The sequence below is a fragment of the Homo sapiens genome, chromosome 22, assembly GCF_000001405.40.
Source record: "Homo sapiens chromosome 22, GRCh38.p14 Primary Assembly".
NCBI classification, from domain to species: domain Eukaryota; kingdom Metazoa; phylum Chordata; class Mammalia; order Primates; family Hominidae; genus Homo; species Homo sapiens.
Genome location: NC_000022.11, coordinates 21,205,232 through 21,223,468, shown reverse-complemented (window position 1 = coordinate 21,223,468; position 18,237 = coordinate 21,205,232). Strand labels below are relative to the sequence as shown.

The window sequence follows — 18,237 nt, the reverse complement described above, 5'->3', positions numbered from 1 at the left end:
TTTGGGGGGTTGAGGCGGGCAGACCACTGAGGTCAGGAGTTCGAGATCAGCCTGGCCAACATGGTGCACTCTGTCCCTACTAAAAATATAAAAAGTTAGCCGGGCATGGTGGTGTGCGCCTGTAATCCCAGCTACTCAGGAGGCTGAGGCAGGAGAATCGCTTGAACCCAGGAGGCAGAGGTTGCAGTGAGCTAAGATCATGCCACTGCACTCCAGCCTGGGCAACTGAGTGAAACTCTGTCTCAGAAAAAAAAAAAAAGAAAAAAGAAAAGAAAAAGAAGAAACTGTAATCCCAGCACTTTGGGAGGTTGAGGCGATAGGATTGCTTTAGACCATGAGTTTGAGACCAGCCTGGGCAACATAGAAAGACCCTATCTCTACAAAAAAGACAAAAAATTGCCCGGTGTGGTGGTTCTTACCTGTAGTCCCAGCTACTCAGGAGACTGAAGTGGGAGGATTGCTTGAGCCCAGGAGGTCAAAGCTGCATTGAGCCAAGACTGTGCCACTGCACTTCATCCTGGGTGACAAAGTGAGACCCTGTCTCATAAAACAAAGGCTGGGCACAGTGGCTCATGCCTGTAATACCAGCACTTTGGGAGGCCAAGGTGGGTGGATTACTTGAGCACAGGAGTTCTTGACCAGCCTGGGCAACATGATGAAACCCCATCTCTACAAAATACACAAACAAACAAAATTGGCTGGGCATGGTGGCATGTGCCCATAGTCCCAGCTACTTGGGAGGCTGAGATGGGAGGGTCAATTGAGCCCAGGAGACTGAGGCTGCAGTGATCCAAGATCACACCACTGCACTCCAGCCTGAGCAACAAAGAGAGACTTTGTCTCCAAAAAAAAAAAAAAAAAAAAAAAGAGGCCAAGGCAGGCGGATCATGAAGTCAAGAGATAGAGACCATCCTGGCCAACATGGTGAAACCCCATCTCTACTAAAAATACAAAAATTAGCTGGGCGTGGTGGCATGCACCTGTAGTCCCAGCTACTCAGGAGGCTGAGGCAGGAGAATGGCTTGAACCCGGGAGGCAGAGGTTGCAGTGAGCTGAGATCGTGCCACTGCACTCCAGCCTGGCAATAGAGCAAGACTCCATCTCAAAAAAAAGAGAAAGAAACTAAAAACAAAAACCCCAAAACTCGAATGGACTTCTCTTCCATCCTCCTTTGGGCAGGTGGGCAGCAGGGTGTGTATGCGGGGCCAGGGTGGAAGCCTGCAGGTTCTCATGCCTTTATGTGCCACATGGCAGGGACACACTGCGGGACGGTGGCTCTGCAGTGGATGCAGCCATTGCAGCCCTGTTGTGTGTGGGGCTCATGAATGCCCACAGCATGGGCATCGGGGTTGGCCTCTTCCTCACCATCTACAACAGCACCACTCATGAGTGCCTCAGAAGAGGAGAGGGAGAGGGGCAGGGGGTGTGGGTTGGGCCGAGGCACAGCTGGGTGGCCCCCAGGCTCACGTGGCATAAAGGGTTTTGGTGGGTGGGCCTGCCTACCTGCTTCTTCTAGGAAAAGCTGAGGTCATCAATGCCCGCGAGGTGGCCCCCAGGCTGGCCTTTGCCAGCATGTTCAACAGCTCGGAGCAGTCCCAGAAGGGTAAGCCATGCTGCAGACTTGGGGCATGGGTGCAGAGCTGGCTGAGCCACCGGGAAGGGGCCTTGCCCACAGAAGCCTGCTCCCGTCAGGGTTCAGGGGCAGTTCTGTCACCCCCCATCCCTTCCTGGCCCCATAGCACCCTCCCACAATGAGTGGTCAGGACCATCATCACCACGGTAAAGGGCCGGGAGCTTCTGTTATTTCTGCTAAGGCCTCCGGGGCCACTCTGTGCAGCACATGGAAAGAATAATTATTATGCTAGCAGACCTCATGGATCAGGGCTCACTGGGGCCCATGCTCTGCTCTGTGCTTTTCACCCACGAGCCTCTCACAACCCTCCCTGCTCCTTTGGGCTAGGGGATGCTGTGTGGATTCCCATTTTACAGGGTGGGGATGCTGAGGCTCAGACAGGTCATGCAAATCAGCTGAGGTCACACAGCTGGGAGGTGGTGAAGCTAAAATTGAACCCAGGCTGTCTATATCCTGCCTTTTCAACAGGCATCCCATTCACTCATTTGTTCATTTGTGGGGATGGCGCTCTAGAATGTGAGGTGGAGTCTCTCTTTTCTAATCTGGTCTTAAGTGGGGAGGAGGCCCCCAAATTCCCCAGGTACCTGAGGGGAAGCCACTGTCCATCCAGGAAGCCACTGTCTGTCCCCAAAGGAGGCACAATAGATTGTGAGATAAAAGTTGGAGGATGGGAGGGTCTCAACAACTCACGCCTCTAATCCTAGCACTTTAGGAGGCCAAGTCAGGAGGAGCGCATGAGCCCAGGAGACCTGCCTGGACAACATAGCAAGACTCCATCTCTACAAAAAATGGAAAAAAAAATTAGCAGGTATGGCGGTGTGTGCTTATGGTCCCAGTTACTCGGGAGGCTAAGGTGGGAGGATCACTTGAGCCCAGGAGGTTGAGGCTGCAGTCAGCCATGATTATACCACTACACTCTAGCTTGGGCAACAAAGTGAGACCCTGTCAAAAAAAAAAAAAAAAAAGGCTGGGCCTTTTTTTCACAGGCTCACGCCTGTAATCCCAGCACTTTGGGAGGCTGAGGCAGATGGATCACCTAGGTCAGGAGTCCAAGACCAGCCTGGCCAACATAGTGAAACCCTTTCTCTACTAAAAGTACAATAATTAGTCGGGCGTGGTGGCACAGGCCTGTAATATCCCAGCTACTCAGGAGGCTAAGGCAGGAGAATCGCTTGAACCCACGAGGTAGAGATTGCAGTGAGCCGAGATCATGCCACTGCACTCCAGCCTGGGCAACAAGAACGAAGCTCCGTCTCAAAAAAAAAAAAAAAAAAAAAAAGTTGGAGGATGGAGGGGCAGGACACACTCACCATAGCAGGTCTTAGACTTCAGGTGGGGGTCCTGGGTGGTGCCCTTTGGAGTCTTCTGCAACATACTCAATCTTTGATTTTTTTTTTCTTTTTTTTTTTTTGAGACAGAGTCTCACTCTGTCGCCCAGGTTGGAGTGCAGTGGTGCGATCTCGGCTCACTGCAAGCTCTGCCTCCTGAGTTCGCGCCATTCTCCTGCCTCAGCCTCCCGAGTAGCTGGGACTACAGGCGCCCGCCACCGCGCCCGGCTAATTTTTTGTATTTTTTAGTAGAGACGGGTTTTCACTATGTTGCCCAGGCTGGTCCCTCGATCTCCTGACCTCGTGATCCCCCTGCCTCAGCCTCCCAAAGTGCTGGAATTACAGGCGTGAGCCACTGTGCCCGACCAATCTTTCATTTGTTTTTAATACTCATTGAGAAACTCAGCATCTGTAGACATGAAGTTGCTGAGGGTAAGAGAATGCGGGAACCATAGGCTTGGCACCTTGTGGACGCTTAAAACCATTTATTTGACTAGAATGTATTGAGCATTGTCTTAAAGAATCAGCTGTTGTTCCTGAAGCTGGGGTGAAAAACAAAGACGGCAGATGAAATCTGTGACACTCCAGGTGGGAGGAGAAACTAGGCAAGTGCGGGTGTGTTACGGGCTGTAGAAAAACAGACCTGGAGGGCCTCAAAATCTGGGACTCTATGGAGGGTGACCTAGTCAGGGAAGGGGACATCTGAGCAAAGACCCAGAGGCAGAGATGGGGTCAGGGGAGTTATCTCCTGGTCTGCTATCCAGGTGTGATGGCAGGGACAGAGCCCTGTGGGGAGCTGGGGAGGCTGCAGCAAGTGATCCAAGGGGAATGGCCCAGGTTGTGCGGGATCTCTTAGGTTATGGTGAAGCCTCTGCTTCCTGTCTGAGGGAAGTGGGGGCTCGTGGAGTGTGTGACTGGAAGGGGATGGATCTGGTCTATGGACCCCTTGGATTGCTGTGTAAGGGGCAGGGAGCATGTGGGGACCTGTCCGGAGGTCACTGCAGTAATTCGTGGAGAGGGTGCTGGGAAGTGGCTGACGCTGCACAGACACACTTGGAAGTGGAGCCTGTGGATTTGAGGATGGGTTGGGTGTGACGCTTGTGTAGGGAGTCCCCGGGGACCCCTGATCTTTTGTCTGTACCTGGAAGGATGGGGTGACCCTAATGGAGACAGGCAGGGTTCTCAGGAAGCAGGTTGAGCAGACACTCAGGAGCTCGGTTTTGGGCACGTTGAAGTTTGAGATGCTTTCTTCGAGCAGGCAGGTAGATCCTCAGGTCTGGTGATCGGAGGAGCAGTCCAGGCCAGCAGGTCAATTTGAGAGTTGTCAGTGCATAAATGGAGGCTGAAGCTCAGATGTCAAGCAGACCACCAGGAGAGAGAGCAAAGACAGAGGGGAGAGTAGGAGCTAGGATGGCAGGCGGGGGAGACTCGGGTGGAGCCAGGTGCTGGGATGCAGGGGCGGCTCTCAGGGAGAGTGATGAGCCCAGTAAAGCTGAGAGGGGGCACTGGGTCTGGCAGTGTGGGGGTCACCAGAGAACTTGGCAAGTGTGGTGGCATGAGAGCCTGATTGGGCTGAGGTCAGGAGGAGATTTTTTTCTGATATTGATACATGATATTTTCTATATTTATGGGTACATGTGAGTGCTTGTTCCATGCATAGAGTGTATAATGATCAAGGCAGGGTATTTGGAGTCTCCGTCACCTTGAATATTTTTCATTTCCGGGTGTTAGCACCATAGTCCTCTCTTCGTTACTTTGAAATATACAAAATACTGTTGCTAAGCATCGTCACCCTGGTCTGCTATCAAAGATTAGAACTTCTCCTGTCTTGGCTGGGCACGGTGGCTCACGCCTGTCATCCCAGCACCTTGGAAGGCTGAGGTGGGTGGATGACCTGAGGTCAGGAGTTTGAAAACAGCCTGGCCAACATGGCAAAACCCCATCTGTACTAAAAATACAAAAATTAGCCTGGCGTGCTGGCCTGTGCCTGTAATCCCAGCTACTCGGGAGGCTGAGGCAGGAGAATCGCTTGAACCTGGGAGGCGGAGGTTATAGTGAGCTGAGATCATGCCACTGCACTGCAGTCTGGGAGACAGAGCAAGACTCCATCTCAAAAACAAACAAAGAAAAACAAAACAAAACAAAAAAGAACTTCTGTCTAACTACAAGGTGGAAGGAATCATATGCTGGGTGTCAGACCTTCCGGGATATATGTGCAGCTTCTAGGAATTGAAACCACCAGCTCTTGGAAACTTGTGCCAGGCTTCAGGGTGGGAGAGGCAGTTCTAGAGCCACAGCCGCCAAGCCAAGGCAAATGGCCCCATCATCTCTCGCAAGAGCAGGAGAGTCCCTGGGGGCAGAGGCCATAGTTGTACCTTTCTGGGCAAAGGGTCAGTGTCTGTAGTGTCCATATGGGCAGTGGGGCTCAGGGGGGAAGCAGGCCCAGGGGTCTGTTTCCAATGACCTCCTCAAAAGTCAGAACTGGAAGGCAAAACCCCTTATAGGCTGAGTGCACCTGTAATCCCAGCATGTTGGGAGGCTGAGGTGGGAGGATTGCTTGAGGCCAGAGTTTGAGACCAGTCTTGGCAATGTAGCAAGACCCCTGTCTCTACAAAAAATAAAAATAAAAAATTAGGCTGGGAGTGGTGGCTCACGCCTGTAATCCCAGAACTCTGAGAAGCTGAGGAGGATGGATCACCTGATGTTAGGAGTTCAAGACCAGCCTGACCAACCTGGTGAAACCCCGTCTCTACTAAAAATACAAAAATTAGCAAGGCGTGGTGGTACATGCCTGTAATCCCAGGTACTTGGGAGGCTGAGGCAGGAGAATTACTTGAACTCGGGAGGTGGAGGTTGGAGTGAGCCAAGATTGTGCCATTGCACTCCAGCCTGGGCAACAAGAGTGAAACTCCATCTCAAAAAAAAAAAAAAAAAAAAAGCCACGTGCAGTGGGGTATGTCTGTAGTCTTAGGTACTTCAGAGGCTGAAGTGGGAGGATCGCTTGAGCCTGGGAAGCCAAGGCTGCAGTGAGCCATGATTGCACCACTGCACTCCAGCTGGGACAACAGAGTGAGACCCTGTCTCAAAACAGACAAACAAACAAAAACCCTTATAGTTGGTTGGAGAAACTGAGGCTGGGAGAGGGGACAGGATGGAGGTTAAGGCTCAGTCTTGCCTCTCTGGGGCAGTAGAAAAGAGGAAGGGAGCCCTTTCTTGGGGCTGGCTGTGTCTTGAAGGTGGCCTGTGCTTGACCTGGGTCAGGGTGGGATCTGCTCTTGTTTTGGCACATTCTGGTGGAGCCCATGAGTCTTACAGGATAAGGCCTTGTGGTCAGCGAGATGGGAGGGGGTCTGGCCTGGCACAGGATTTTAGACATGCAGGCACCTGTACAGACAGACACCTCATCCTGGGACAGCAAAACCCAGCCGCATGCTACTGCTTCCCCTGCTGTGCCCTCCTCAGACATCCCTGGTCCATGTACACTCCTACCTGCTGAGCCCCTCCTAAAAAAAAAAATTAAACATCCCCTCCTAAAAAAAAAAAATTAAAATTAAAAAATAAATTTAAAAATTAAAAATCCCCTTCTGCTAGGTGTGCTGTTCACGCCTGTAATCTCAGCGACTCAGGAGGCTGAGGTGGGAGGATTGCTTGAATCCAGGAGTTCGAGATCAGGCTGGGCAAGATGGCAAGACCCCAACTCAAAAAAGAAAAAAAAATCTTTCCTCCTAAGCCTCATTGCCCCATCTGTAAAATGAGTCAGGGACTGTGCCTGGGATGCTGCCTGCTAGAGATCCCGATGTCCCCCACTCAGGGTCACTAACTGTGGCTCTCTCTCCCCAGGAGGGCTGTCGGTGGCGGTGCCTGGGGAGATCCGAGGCTATGAGCTGGCACACCAGCGGCATGGGCGGCTGCCCTGGGCTCGCCTCTTCCAGCCCAGCATCCAGCTGGCCCGCCAGGGCTTCCCTGTGGGCAAGGGCTTGGCGGCAGTCCTGGAAAACAAGCGGACTGTCATCGAGCAGCAGCCTGTCTTGTGGTATGTCTGTGGGTGCGGCCCCCTGACACAGGCAGGGCAGGCACAGCCCAAGGACCTTGCAGGCCGTAGCAGCAGTGGAGCGGCCCTCTGCCTTCAGGACCCTGTGCTGATAATGGGATGAGGAGATACAGACCCTTCCCACCACGTGTGGGGACACATTCTGAGCATGGGGTCCCAGTGGCCACTGTGGCTGGCCACGTGTCCTGAGTGGCAAGGGACACTAGGAGGCTCCCGGAAGGGACACTAGGAGGATGAGCGCTGAGTGACAGGGCCACCCACCTGTGACAGGTGCTGCCCCTGCTTTGTGCTGGTCTCCTGTGTGGGCAGGTGTGGGGGGTGGTCTAGCTGAGTCCACCCCACCTGCTGCCTCACATGAGCCCCCTCTGCCCCGGTGAGGTGTTCTGCCGGGATAGAAAGGTGCTTCGGGAGGGGGAGAGACTGACCCTGCCGCGGCTGGCTGACACCTATGAGATGCTGGCCATCGAGGGTGCCCAGGCCTTCTACAACGGCAGCCTCATGGCCCAGATTGTGAAGGACATCCAGGCGGCTGGTGAGTGGGTAACCTCAAGGACCTGGGTGAGGAACTCTGCAGTGGAAACCCTGAGCTGTAGCCCAGAGCCATGGGGTCCTCCTGTCTTGCCTGAGCCTGCAGGAAGTTCCTGGTGGAGGAGGGTCAGTGACTGGCCATGTGGGTCCACAGCTCCTGCTTATATCAAAACCAAGAGAGGCCACACAGTCCAGGAGAGCAAGTCCCTGTTGGGGTAAATGCAGGTGTAGGCAAGAGCCAGGGCTAGGGAAGCACTAGAATACAGCCTGAAGATCCAGGAGGACTTCTTGGAGGAGGTGGCGGCTGGGCTGCAGATAACTTCGTTAGGCAGAGAGAGGAAGGGATTCCTAGCAGAGGAACAGCTGGGCTAAGGCCCAGTAGAGGGCGCTTTGATTCACCAAGAGGGTTACAAGGGATGAGGGTCGCCTTGAGAGAGGCATGGGGAAGGGGATTTGTGGGGCAGGGGCCTGGAGCTTGGCTGTGGCTTTCTTCAGGTAATTTTTGTCACTGTTTCATGGAGGAGGGTGATTAGCGTGTCGACCTTTACCACTGAGGCTGGAAATTGGCATGCCAATACCCTGTCTGGAGCTGACTCCAGGAGAATTAAGAGCCTCCCTCCCTCCCTCTATCCATTCATCGTGAGGAGAAGAGGCCAAGCAGCAGGGACACCGGCAGGAATTCTCCAGTTAGAAAAGGCCCTCTGAGCCAGGTGCGGTGGCTCACGTCTGTAATCCCAGCACTTTGGGAGGCCGAGGCGGGTGGATCACCTGAGGTCAGGAGTTCAAGACCAGCCTGGCCAACATGGTGAAACCCTGTCTCTACTAAAAATGCAAAATTAGTCAGGCATGGTGGGTTGTGCCTGTAATCCCAGCTACTTGGGAGGCTGTGGCAGGAGAATCGCTAGAACCTGTGGGGCTGAGGTTGCAGTGAGCCGAGATTGCACCACTGCACTCCACAGAGTGAGACTCCATCTCAAAAAAAAAAAGAGAGAAAAGGCCCTCTGAGGCCAAGCTTGGTGTCTCATGCCTGTAATCCCAACACTTTGGGAGGCTGAGGTAGAAGTTGAGGTCAGGGGGTCCAAGACAAGCCTGGGCAACATAGTGAGTCTACAAAAAAAATATTGAGAATCTACATAAATATAGTGGGGGTGGGGGTGGGGAACAAGAAAACAAAAAATTCAAAGCATAGTGAAAAGAAATATAGCAAAACCCGGCCGGGCATGGTGCCTCACGCCTGTAATCTCAGCACTTTGAGAGGCCGAGGCGTGTGGATCACGGGGTCAGGAGATCGAGACCATCCTGGCTAACACAGTGAAACCTGTCTCTACTAAAAATACAGAAAAATTAGCCACATGTGGTGGCGGGTGCCTGCAGTCCCAGCTACTTGGGAGGCTGAGGCAGGAGAATGGCGTGAACCTGGGAGGCGGAGCTTGCAGTGAGCCGATATCGCGCCACTGCACTCCAGCCTGGGCGATAGAGCGAGACTCCGTCTCACAAAAAAAAAAAAAAAAAGAAAGAAAGAAATATAGCAAAACACAACAAAAAAATTAAAATTTGCTGGGTGTAGTTGTGCCTTTAGTCTCAGCTACTGGGGAGGGTCTGCTGGAGGATCACTTGAGCCCAGGGGTTCAAGGCTGTGATTAAGCCACTGCACTCCAGCCTGGGTAACAGAGCAAGATCGTATCTCTAAAAAAAAAAAAGAAAAAAGAAAACACTCTCTGGCCACAGATGAGAGAAGGCAGACAGGAAGCCAGTAAGCCAAGCAGGCAGAGGGCAGGTGGCCCCAGCCCAGCTGTCGGGTGGTGAGCAGTGTCAGGGAGACAGGAGTGCCGGAGCTGGTGAGGTTCCCAAGGAGGTGAGGTTGCCTGTGGCCCCCTCCCAGGGCACAGTCCCACCCCTCCAGTAGTGCACTCTGTCCTCCCTGGTAGGTACAGGCTTTTCCCCACCACCATGGTGCAGCCATGCCTGCCCCCAACACCACTGGTGCAGTTCCATCCTCCACGCAGTGGTGCAGCCCCATCCCAGCACCCATTCGAGCTGCTGTCCCATTGCAGGGGGCATTGTGACAGCTGAGGACCTGAACAACTACCGTGCTGAGCTGATCGAGCACCCGCTGAACATCAGCCTGGGAGACGCGGTGCTGTACATGCCCAGTGCGCGGCTCAGCGGGCCCGTGCTGGCCCTCATCCTCAACATCCTCAAAGGTGAGTGGTCGCACCACAGCCGTGTGGTAGGACCCATGACACTGCCTCTCTCTCCCCACGCCCCACCCCTCCTGCATCTCTGCTCGCCCCCCATGCCACGTCTTTCCATCACTGAGCTCCTGAGGTGTGTCCCTGCGTCACAGCTCACCATGTCCTGAAGGAGGCAGTGCAGAGCAACAGGGCTGAAGCGGGCAATGCTCAAGGGTTGGAGGAGGAACAGGAGTCATCAGGAGGGAGAGAGGTGCAGGAGCTCAGGGCTGCAGGGCCGGTCCAGAGGGTACCCCGGTCCAGTGGGTGACCCTGCCACTTGGTCATTGAATGGCCAGAGCTGATGCGTGACGTGAGGTCCAGGCTCGGGAGCCCTCACCTTACTTCACTCTCACCACAGCCTTCTGAAGCAGCTGCTGCTATTGGTTATTAAACGCTCCTTGAGGTGGGCAAAGTGGCTCAGGCAGGTGTTAACCCTCTGAGCCCCTCAGAGCCTCTGGGGCTCAGCAACATGCACCTGGCTCTGATCAACCAGGGTACAACTTCTCCCGGGAGAGCGTGGAGACCCCCGAGCAGAAGGGCCTGACGTACCACCGCATCGTAGAGGCTTTCCGGTTTGCCTACGCCAAGAGGACCCTGCTTGGGGACCCCAAGTTTGTGGATGTGACTGAGGTAAGGGGCAGGGGCTGGCTCACTGTGGGTGTGGGGCCTGCCGTAGAGGCATCAGGTGGGCTCCCCAGGGTGGCTACAGCCTCACATATGCTTTATGAATCCATTCCTGCCACAGAATTCGATTGCGGGCCTACTGTGTGCTCGGATGGACTCGTGGGTGACCCCCAGTCTTGGCTTCTGCCCCACAGAACTGACAGTGCGGGGAATTAGTGGCCACCCTCCTACCTCAGGTCCTTTGCACATGCTGTGGTTCTTGAGTGCTCAGTGCTGAGATGAGGAATGCATGGGGGCATTGCAGCCCTCGGGCATGGTGAGATGGATGGGTGAAAGGGAGAGGGCCAGGTGAACAGAGACCTCGGCCACCCACTCCCTGTCACTCCAAACTAATGCTTCCCAGATGCCACCCTCAGCCCTGCACCACCTGACCCACTCACCCAGTAGTTGCCCCAGCTCCATGCTGGGTCCCTATAAGACCCTGTCATATCCCTTCCCACTGAGGATCCTCACATCCCTCCTTACCTACTTGGGTCCTTGGCATTCCTGGGCGGATCTGCAGACCCCCCCACACTGACCAGTGACCTCCCAGGAGGGGCGTCAGCTGCCCGGGTGGTGTCTTCTCTTTCCCTGTGAGCATTCTGCACCTCTGACTCCCGCTGCAGCCAGTGACCTGGTGTCTTGTCTCTCTGAGGGGACAGAGCCACTGCAGCGTGTCCCTCTGCCCTCCTTTTTGGCTAAGGCCAGCTCCTTCATCTACTCACTGGCTCGGGGTGCTGTTCCTACAATGCTCCTGTCTGCCTCTGATGATTTATTTCTTTATCACGGATTATTCCCGAAAGAAAGGCAGCTGTTGTTGCTCTAGAAACTTCTATCTGCTGCCTCCTTCTGTCCTTTGCTCCTCTTAGAGCAAACATGGCTGGGCTATGTCCTCTCTCCCTTCAGGGTATCCCCTCCCCTGCTCTATCCCCATGCCACCAGATCGCCATGTCCAGCCTCAGTTTCCCCATCAGGCCCCACTCAGCAGCATCTCACACAGCTCACCACACTCTCCTCGAGTTTTCATTTTGCAAATTTTCGCACCTACAAAAATGTAAAAAAAACCCAAAACTGCCCAAGCATCAATGTTCCCTTTTCCTGGATTCTGCAGTGTGGACATTTCTGCCGGATTTCCTAACTCTCTCCGTCTCCACCCACATCTATTGGGATTCGTGTTTTTCTGAGGGATTCCACAGTAGGTTACTGATGTCGCACCTCAGGGTGTGTCTCAAAAGTGAGACTTGAACATAGCACAGCAGGATGTCGGGGTGACACAACCTGCTGTCCCTTCTCTTTACCTACAGTAGGCTCCCTTGGCTGTTTTGTTTTTGTTGTGTTTTTGTTTGTACACAGAGTCTCTGTCATCCAGGTTGGAGTGCAGTGGTGTGATCTTGGCTCACTGCAGCCTCAACCTCCAGGGCTCAAGCAATCCTCCCACTTCAGCCCCCTGAGCAGCTGGGACCAGAGGCACGTGCCACCAAACCTGGATAATTTTTGTATTTTTTTTAGAGACAGGGTCTTGCCCAGACTGGTCTCAAACTCCTGGGATCAAACTGTCTTCCCACCTCAGCCTCCCAAAGCGCTGGGATTACAGGTGTGTTTTTTCTTTGAGACGGAGTCTCGCTCTGTTGCCCAGGCTGGAGTGCAGTGGCGCTATCTCGGCTCACTGCAAGCTCCGCCTCCTGGGTTCACGCCATTCTCCTGCCTCAGCCTCCCGAGTAGCTGGGACTACAGGCGCCCGACACTGCGCCCAGCTAATTTTTTGTATTTTTAGTAGAGACGGGGTTTCACCGTGATCGCGATCTCCTGACCTCGTGATCCGCCTGCCTCGGCCTCCCAAAGTGCTGGGATTACAGGCATGAACCACCGTGCCTGGCCTGTTTTGTTGATTTTTAAAGCCCAGGGCAGTAGTCTTGGAAAATGTCCCACATCGTGGATTTGCCTTTCTGTTTCCTTGAGGGCAGATTCAGACAGAACACCTTTCCCTGGGATTGGTCAACTAATCCGTGGGGTGTTGCTGAAACTTTATTTTATTTTATTTTATTTTATTTTTGAGACGGAGTCTCGCTCTGTCCCCCAGGCTGTCCCCCAGGCTGGAGTGCAGTGGCAGGATCTCCGCTCACTGCAAGCTCCGCCTCCCAGGTTCACGCCATTCTCCTGCCTCAGCCCCCCAAGTAGCTGGGACTACAGGTGCCCACCACCGCGCCCAGCTAATTTTTTGTATTTTTAGTAGAGACGGGGTTTCACTGTGTTAGCCAGGATGGTCTCGATCTCCTGACGTCATGATCCGCCCTCCCAAAGTGCTGGGATTACAGGCCTCGGCCTCCCAAAGTGCTGGGATTACAGGCGTGAGCCACCGCGCCCGGTGTTGAAACTCTCTTGAGGCATTTTCTTCGGCCTTCGGGTCCATCCTCTCTGTCTCCTCTTTGACCTCCTCATCTCCTCCTCGCCACTGCCTTGGGGACCTTGGCCAGGCTCATGGCATCCAGCAGCCACTCAATGTCAATACCTCCATGTTCATCTCTCAGCCCGCCCTTGCCCGTGAACCCATGCTTATTTATTTATTTTTTTTATACGTGCACCCATGCTCTTTGGGTCTGATGAAGTATCCAAAATCAAGCTCCTGACCATCCCCAAACCGGCCCCTTCTGCCGGCCTCGCTAGTCGGCACCATCCTTGATTCTTCTCTTTCTCCCACCCAGGCCATCATCTCTTGCCTGGTTGATACCCACAGCCTCCCCTTTGGGCTTTATCCTTATCCCCGTCATAGCTGCCAGAGGGACCCTGTGAAAACACTCCCCAGCCTCCTCATTCCTCTGCCCTAAGCCTGCATGGCACAGAGAAAAAGCCAGTTGTTATGGGACCTAGGAGGTCCTGTGGGATGGGCCCCAGCCTGCATCTTCATCCTCTTCTCCCCACCCTACTCCATTCACTCTCTGCCTATCGCTCACCAGCCTATACCACCTGCCTCAGGGCCTTTGCACTGACCATTTAGGCCACATTCCAGGCTCTTTTCACACGTTGCCTCCTCTGAGAAGCCCTCCCTGACCACTCTGCCCATACCTCATGCCTCTTGATTCCCCTTACCTGGCCTGTGGTTTCAGCACTTTCCCTGGGTGTGTTTGTTTTTCTTGGCATGAGGGCAGGACTTAAGTGTCTGTTCCCTGTTGATTCCCCAGTGCCAGGCATGCAGTGCAAATTCTAGAAATATTTTTTGCATGAAGGAATGAGTGATTGAATGCGGCAAGGGTCTGGAGGCTGAGGACCAGGCAGACAGACATTCAGAGTTGCTGGAACGCGACAGAGACAGGGAGTCAGACTGGTCATGCAAGGTCTTGGGCCTGCCCTTGGGTCCTGGGGAGCCACGGAAGGTTGTGGGTGCCAGAGGGTTGCGGTCAGAGTCACAGTCAAGGGCCTTCTGAGACCTGTGCCCCCTCCCCACCCTCCCTCCCCACCTCCTCAGGCCAGCTCTGGGGTCTCAGCAGGTGGTCCGCAACATGACCTCTGAGTTCTTCGCTGCCCAGCTCCGGTCCCAGATCTCTGACCACACCACTCACCCGATCTCCTACTACAAGCCCGAGTTCTACACGCCGGATGACGGGGGCACTGCTCACCTGTCTGTCGTCGCAGAGGACGGCAGTGCTGTGTCCGCCACCAGCACCATCAACCTCTAGTAGGGGCTGCTGGGCCGCCTGGGTGGGAAAGGGCCAGGGGCGGGTGGCCCAGGGACTGCCCACTTATCCAGTAAGGTGGCTCCATCACCTCTTTTCCTGGTGGGAAACTGAGGCCCAACCTTGGTAGCTTATCCTGGGCCTCTCAGTGAGTATGTTTGAGCCTCAGTGGGTGGATAGGGACCAGGCTGGGCCAGGCAAGGTCGGGTGCTGTCTGACCTGGCTGGGCGGTAGCTTTGGCTCCAAGGTCTGCTCCCCGGTCAGTGGGATCCTGTTCAATAATGAATGGACGACTTCAGCTCTCCCAGCATTCACCAATGAGTTTGGGGCACCCCCCTCACCTGCCAATTTCATCCAGCCAGGTATGGGGTGGAGGTCCGGGGGGTGGGGGACTGGGGTGGAGAGGGGCGGGTGTCCTGGGCAGGCAGCTGACGGGCATCCCTGTCTTCTCCCATCGGCCGCAGGGAAGCAGCCGCTCTTGTCCATGTGCCTGACGATCATGGTGGGCCAGGACGGCCAGGTCCGGATGGTGGTGGGAGCTGCTGGGGGCACGCAGATCACCACAGACACTGCACTGGTATGTGTCACCCCTTTTCTCCCTGGCCCTGCCCACTCTGCACAGCCCCCAAGCCACCCTGATCACACTCCCATGCCCCAGGCCATCATCTACAACCTCTGGTTCGGCTATGACGTGAAGAGGGCCGTGGAGGAGCCCCGGCTGCACAACAAGCTTCTGCCCAACGTCACGACAGTGGAGAGAAACATTGACCAGGTGGGCCAGGGGTTGGAGAAACTGAGTCACGGTGTGGGGTCCCAGGGCATCCTGGGCTGGAGGCCTGGATCATCACAGAGTGGACAATGGTTGGTGTCCTCTCTCTAGTGCCTGGGCCATCTGGAGCCCCTGTGACATGAGAGCCAAGCCCCCTGCTCCAGTGAGACCCAGCAGGCCCCAACCTGCTCTTCCTGATGACCTGGCCTGAAATGGCACCACCTGGGCTGAGGCCTGTGACCACACAGGTGTGGTTCAGGTGGCATCTGGAGCCCTGCTCAGGCTTCCCCTCTCCTCCCACCCCCAGGCAGTGACTGCAGCCCTGGAGACCCGGCACCATCACACCCAGATCGCGTCCACCTTCATCGCTGTGGTGCAAGCCATCGTCCGCACGGCTGGTGGCTGGGCAGCTGCCTCGGACTCCAGGAAAGGCGGGGAACCTGCTGGCTACTGATTGCTCCAGGCAGACAAGGCTGACAAGCAATCCAGGGACAAGATACTCACCAGGATGAGGAAGAGGACTTTGGGGGACGGGCTTCCCCTGTGAGCAGCAGAGCAGCATAATAAATGAGGCCACTGTGCCAGGCTCCAGGTGGCCTCCCTGGCCTGTCTCCCCACTCTCTGGGCCTCAGTGTATTGTGTGTGAAATGGAGCCATCTGGCTGGGGAGGAACAGAGAGGTGGGATTCGGAGATCTTCACAATGCGGACACTGGAACTAGCCTCAGCATCTTCAGCATGGGGAGAGCAAGGCACATGGCTGGGGGCCAGGGGAAGGTTCACACCAAACCCTGCCCCTTCCCACCCTGATCCCTCAGACTTTGGGGCCAGGCCCTCCCTTACTGGGGCTGGGCAGTGACACTACCTAGGATCAGCCACCAGGGGGTGTCACGACCCTGGCGCTTTCTTAGGCAGAGGGTGGCCAGCCGATGCTGGGAACCCGGGCGCCTTCTCAGACCCGTAGGCGTCCAGCTCACCCTGCCGATGACACTGGAGGTGAAGCTGAGGGTCCGAGGAATGGGGACTGGGCAACAGGCTGGAGGAAAACATCTCGGTCAGAGCCATGCCCCTGGGGGGTTCCCAAGAGCAAGCCCAGAGTGAAACCCAAGCTTGTGATCCTCTCCAGAGGGAGGCCTGGTTCTCAGGGAACAGCAAACGGGAAGATGTCCCCAGATCCCAGGGATCAGGGCTTGGACCAGCCGGGGACGCAGCCCAGAGGGAGTGGGTCCGGAAGGAAACAGCTCGACACAGCAGCCTTCACCATTGGCAGCCCCTCCAGGCCTCCCTCGGGGCCTGCTCCCTCCTCTGTGCACAGTTCCAACACCTGGAGCAGGGTTCTGGGAAGGGCTGGTGGAGGTGGGCTGGTGGGAGGCGGTGATCACAGCCCAACACCTGGAGCAGGGTTCTGGGAAGGGCTGGTGGAGGTGGGCTGGTGGGAGGCGGTGATCACAGCCCAGCACCTGGATATCACCAGGGGCACTGGGGCCAGGGGCCAGGTGAGGCCAGGTCGGGGCTATCCTTCAGGAGCCCCGAAAACCTGGTGATTCCAAAGGGCCCATAGACAAACAGGGTTTTATGCCTGTGGAGTCAAGTCCCACTGGGTCTGAGCTCTGGAGGGCTGTGTCTCTGGGGCTCTGCAAGGGTGAGATGGAGGTGGGCTCAACTGGTGTACAAGTCACTCTTCAATCCTTATTTTATTTATTTAATTTTTTTAAAAAAAATTTAAACCAATAGAGATGGGGTCTCACTATGTTGACCAGGCTGGTCTTAACTCCTGACTTCAAGCAGTCCCCCCATCTCAGTCTCCCAAAGTGCTAGGATTACAGGGGTAGCCACTGCACCCGGCCTCAATCCTTATATTGGCCTGAGAGGAAAGGCCGTGGCCCCATTTGCAGGGGAGAAGACTGAAGCTGGAGGGGCAGGCCTTGCTCTGGGTTGCACAGCAGGAAGAGAAGTGGGAGCTGGCCACGAGGCTTCCTGGACCCGACACGCTGGTGGGGTACACCCTGGTTCTCTAGGTCCCATGGGGCTCAGCCCAGGACTACCTCGGGGGGTGAGGGACTTAAATCGTCTCCTTCATTCTCATCACCCCTTCCCCCATCATTTCCTGAGGAAGGACATTCAGGGACCTGAAGGGGTGGCCTGCCCCTCCACACCTGTGGGTGTTTCCCATCAGCTGGGACAAGAGACTGAGAAAAGAAAGAGACACAGAGACAAAGTATAGAGAAAGAAAAGTGGGCCCAGGGGACCTGCGCTCAGCATACGGAGGCCCCACGCTGGCACCAGTCTCTGAGTTCCCTAGTATTTATTGATCATTATCTCTACCATCTCAGAGAGGGGGATGTGGCAGGACAATAGGGTAATAGTGGGGAGAGGGTCAGCAGGAAAACACGTGAACAAATGTCTCTGTGTCATAAACAAGGTTAAGAAAAAGGTGCTATGCTTTGATGTGCATATACATAAACATCTCAATGCATTAAAGAGCAGTATTGCCACCAGCATGTCCCATCTCCAGCCCTAAGGCAGTTTTCTCCTATCTCAGCAGATGGAATATACAATCAACACTGAGACATTCCTTTGCCCAGGGACGATCAGGAGAGAGATGCCTTCCTCTTATCTCAACTGCAAAGAGGCCTTCCTCTTTTACTAATCCTCCTCAGCACAGACCCTTTACAGGTGTCGGGCTGGGGGACGGTCAGGTCTTTCCCTTCCCACGAGGCCATATTTCAGACTGTCACCTGGGGAGAAACCTTGGACGATACCTGGCTTTCCTAGGCAGAGGTCCCTGCGGCCTTCTGCAGTGTTTTGTGTCCCTGCTTACTTGAGATTAGGGAGTGGTGATGACTCTTAACAAGCATGCTGCCTTCAAGCATTTGTTTAACAAAGCACATCCTGCACAGCCCTGAATCCATTAAACCTTGAGTCGACACAGTACATGTTTCTGTGAGCACAGGGTTGGGGCTAGGGTTACAGATTAACGGCATCTCAAGGCAAAAGAATTTTTCTTACTACACAACAAAATGGAGCCTCTTACGTCTACTTCTTTCTACATAGACACAGTAACAGTCTGATATCTCTTTCTTTTCCCCACAGGGACCTTCCTGGCTGTGCCTCGGGTCAGGACCAGAATGACACCCATTCATTTCCCTGGGCCTTTGCTCCGGTGGTCCCTGCACCCTGGCCTCTGCCTGACGAGGATGGTGGGGAGAGGAGGGGGGACGTCCCCCACACTGCTGTCTCCACTGTTCCTGCTGCCCAGGCCTCTGGGCTTCCAGGACTGCAGCGGGTGGGTGGGTGGGCTGGCCTGAGCCCAGGAATGCACTTCAGTTCCTGGTTGAGCAATGTCACTGAGGCTTGGGAGT

General features: G+C 54.9%; 1 pseudogene across 1 annotated transcript in view, besides 2 other annotated features; it reads left to right on the top strand.

Moving 5' to 3' along the window:
• GGT2P (gamma-glutamyltransferase 2, pseudogene) overlaps nt 1-15,493 on the top strand; it is a 51,709-nt pseudogene extending 36,216 nt beyond the window's left edge. The window contains exons 6-15 of the transcript NR_172944.1: nt 1,517-1,603; nt 2,338-2,441; nt 6,802-6,994; nt 9,595-9,744; nt 10,268-10,404; nt 13,901-14,110; nt 14,343-14,470; nt 14,573-14,685; nt 14,767-14,880; nt 15,185-15,493. The product of NR_172944.1 is annotated as a gamma-glutamyltransferase 2, pseudogene (transcript). The remainder of the gene's footprint in view (nt 1-1,516; nt 1,604-2,337; nt 2,442-6,801; nt 6,995-9,594; nt 9,745-10,267; nt 10,405-13,900; nt 14,111-14,342; nt 14,471-14,572; nt 14,686-14,766; nt 14,881-15,184) is intronic.
• Nucleotides 6,959-7,459: an enhancer, noted in NCBI's record as "H3K4me1 hESC enhancer chr22:21570299-21570799 (GRCh37/hg19 assembly coordinates)". NCBI's record gives its function as "activates a minimal SCP1, AML or CMV promoter by ChIP-STARR-seq in naive H9 embryonic stem cells {active_cell/tissue: H9 hESC(naive)}" and the evidence as "EXISTENCE:reporter gene assay evidence [ECO:0000049][PMID:30033119]".
• Nucleotides 7,460-7,960: an enhancer, noted in NCBI's record as "H3K4me1 hESC enhancer chr22:21569798-21570298 (GRCh37/hg19 assembly coordinates)". NCBI's record gives its function as "activates a minimal SCP1, AML or CMV promoter by ChIP-STARR-seq in naive H9 embryonic stem cells {active_cell/tissue: H9 hESC(naive)}" and the evidence as "EXISTENCE:reporter gene assay evidence [ECO:0000049][PMID:30033119]".
• Nucleotides 15,494-18,237: the final 2,744 nt, after the last annotated feature.